We start from the raw sequence: 3,066 nt of genomic DNA, 5'->3' as shown, positions 1-3,066 counted from the left end.
TGCAGGCTGGCTACCACAGTCTCCATCTTGAGGCTTGTCGTCTCACATATAAGAAGGTAGGAGATTCATCCTGAAATGTGTTCATGTGTATTTATTAGGGAGGAAAATCTGCCCTAGAAATTCCCCTGCTGGTGCTCCCTCACAGCCCACTGGCCAGGTTGAGTCACATGTCGGTGCCACGTCTGCAGGAGAAGCTGGGAAGGTGGGTGCCAGGGAAGTCTGCCTCTGTCTCTGAGGAAGAATGGGAAAGAAAGGGGCCACAGGGTAGCCGGGCGCAGTGGCTCATGCCTATAATCCCAGCACTTTAGGAGGCTGAGGCGGGCGGATCACTTGAGGTCAGGAGTTTGAGACCAGCCTGGCCAACATGGTGAAACCCTGTCTCTACTAAAAATACAAAAATTAGCCAGACGTGGTGGCAGGCGCCAGTAATCTCAGCTACTCGGGAGGCTGAGGCAAGAGAATCGCTTGAACCCAGGAGGCAGAGGTTGCAGTGAGCCGAGATTGTGCCACTGCACTCCAGCCTGGGGAGACAAGAGCAAGACTTCGTCTCGAAAAAAAAAAAAAAAAAGAAAGTGGCCACGGGATAAGCAGACCATGTCTTCGCAGATGGCTAACCACCTCTCAGCCTTGATGCTTGCAGGGCTGAAACGAGCTCCTGGTATGGATTCCCAAAGAGGAAGGGAAAATTTTAGGTTCTAGATCTAGAAGGTGGCAGATGTCAGAAGCTGTCCTAACCCAGGCCTCCTGGAGCTAGGAGTCACCCTAGATGGTGGAAAGTGTGCAGGAAATACAGCCACTGAACCCTGAGAACAGCAAGCTTGACATCTCAAGCCTAGAACCCTTCTCGCTGAGGTTAGCACGATTTCAAAAAGCATCGTTACCACCAAGTCCTGGGGACTGGTTACAACCAGGTTTCAATGGCGACACCATGTGGTCATGATGGGAAATAGCAGTCATGACCTATGCCCCGCATGGTGTAGGCTCTCAAAAGTTTCTGGGTGATACAGGGTGGTCTCAAGATCCTGAATGGTTTTTGTTTTTTTGAGACAGGGTCTCACTCTATCAACCAGGCTGGAGTGCAGTAGCAGTCATCACAGCTCACTGCAGCCTCCATCTCCTGGGCTCAAGCGATCCACCTGCCTCGACCTCTCAAAACGCTGGGATTACAGGCGTGAGCCACCACACCTGGCCCTGGATTTCTTTTTAATAAGGCATACACAGGCCCGGCGTGGTGGCTCACACCTGTAATCCCAGCACTTTGGGAGGCCAAGGAGGGTGAAACACGAGGTCAGGAGTTCGAGACCAGCCTCTACTAAACCACGCCTCTACTAAAAATACAAAAATTAGCCGGGCATGGTGGCACATGCCTGTAGTCCCAGCTACTTCGGAGGCTGAAGCAGGAGAATTGCTTGAACCTGGGAGGTAGAGGTTGCAATGGGGCAAGATTGCGACATTGCACGCCAGCCTGGGAGACAGAGCGAGACTCCGTCTAAAATAATAACAATAATAATAAGGCATACACAAGCATGAACAATTAATTGGGAAAATTAGAGTTATGATCATATTTTAGACCACATTGTGGAACTGGCCATATTTATAAAGTATGTTCATATAGTGAAAGTGTGGAAGGCTATATCTCAAAGGCTTAACAGTGTACTTATCTCAGGCTCATAGAACTATAGGTAAACTTTTTTCCTTTATTTCTTTTTTCTATCATTACATGCCAGTAATAACAATAGCAAACACTAACAGAGCACATACCATGTGCTGAGTGCCTGTTAATTGGCGATGATCATTATGCTGGCTGGGTGCGGTGGTTCACGCCTGGAATCCCAGCACTGTGGGAGGCCGAGGCAGGTGGATTACGAGGTCAGAAGTTCGAGATCAGCCTGGCCAATATGGTGAAACCCCATCTCTACTAAAAATACAAAAATTAGCTGGGCTTGGTGGTGCACACCTGTAGTCCCAGCTGTTCAGGAGGCTGAGGCATGAGAATCACTTGAACCTGGGAGGTGGAGGTTGCAGTGAGCTGAGATCGTGCCACTGTACTCCAGCATGGGCAACAGAGCAAGACTCCATCTCAAAAAAAAAAAAAATTCTCATTATGCTTACTTTTTGGCGGGGGCAGGCAGAGACAGGGACTCTTTCTGTCACCCAGGTTGGAGTTCAGTGTTGCAGTCATAGCTCGCTGCAGCCTTGCCCTCCTCGGCTCAAGCGATCCTCCCACCTCAGCCTCCTGAGTAGCTGGGACTACAGGTGTGCAACATCACATTTGGCTAATTTTTTATTTTTTATTTTGTTTTTTAAAGAGGGGGCCTCCCCATGTTGCCCAGGCTGGTCTCAAACTCCTGGGCTCAAGTGATCTTCCCATCTCGGCCTCCCAAAGTGCTGAGATTATAGGCGTGAGCCACCATGACCAGCTTATACTTACTTTTTACGCGAGGAAACTGAGACACAAGGAAGCTAAGTCAGTGCCCCATGTAGCTCTGAACTCTGTGCTCCCATCCTCTCTGCTGTACTGCCTCCCTGTCTTATCTGTGTATATTAATTTTTCTGCAGTGTGTCGCTTGCATAGTAATAATATAAGAAAAGAAAAAGCAGTGGGATGTATACCTTTTTCCACCCTCCCCCCCGCAAGACGGAGTCTTGCTCTGTCACCCAGGCTGGAGTGCAGTGGCGCGATCTAGGCTCACTGCAACCTCCGCCTCCTGGGTTCAAGTAATCCCCCTGCCTCAGCCTCCAGGGTAGCTGGGATTACAGGCACACACCACCACACCCGGCTAGTTTTTGTATTTTTAGTAGAGATGGGGTTTCACCATGTTGGACAGGCTGATCTCGAACTTCTGACCTTGTGACCTGCCTCCCTTGGCTTCCCAAAGTGCTGGGATTACAGGTGTGAGCCACCGCACCCAGCCTGATATATAGCTTTTATAATCAGAAAAAAAATAATGCTGGCTGGGCATGGTGGCTCATTCCTGTAATCCCAGCTTTTTGACAGGCTGAGATGGGAGGATTGCTTGAGCCCAGGAGTTCCGAGACCAGCCTGGGCAACATAGCAAGACATTG

At 49.6% G+C, this 3,066-nt stretch overlaps 1 annotated feature.

Moving 5' to 3' along the window:
- Positions 827–1,026: a silencer, noted in NCBI's record as "silent region_8038". NCBI's record gives its function as "represses an Ori minimal core promoter by ATAC-STARR-seq in GM12878 lymphoblastoid cells {active_cell/tissue: GM12878}" and the evidence as "EXISTENCE:reporter gene assay evidence [ECO:0000049][PMID:35858748]".

Source organism: Homo sapiens, chromosome 17, assembly GCF_000001405.40.
Source record: "Homo sapiens chromosome 17, GRCh38.p14 Primary Assembly".
Lineage (NCBI taxonomy): Eukaryota > Metazoa > Chordata > Mammalia > Primates > Hominidae > Homo > Homo sapiens.
This window is presented reverse-complemented; position numbering and strand designations above follow the sequence as displayed.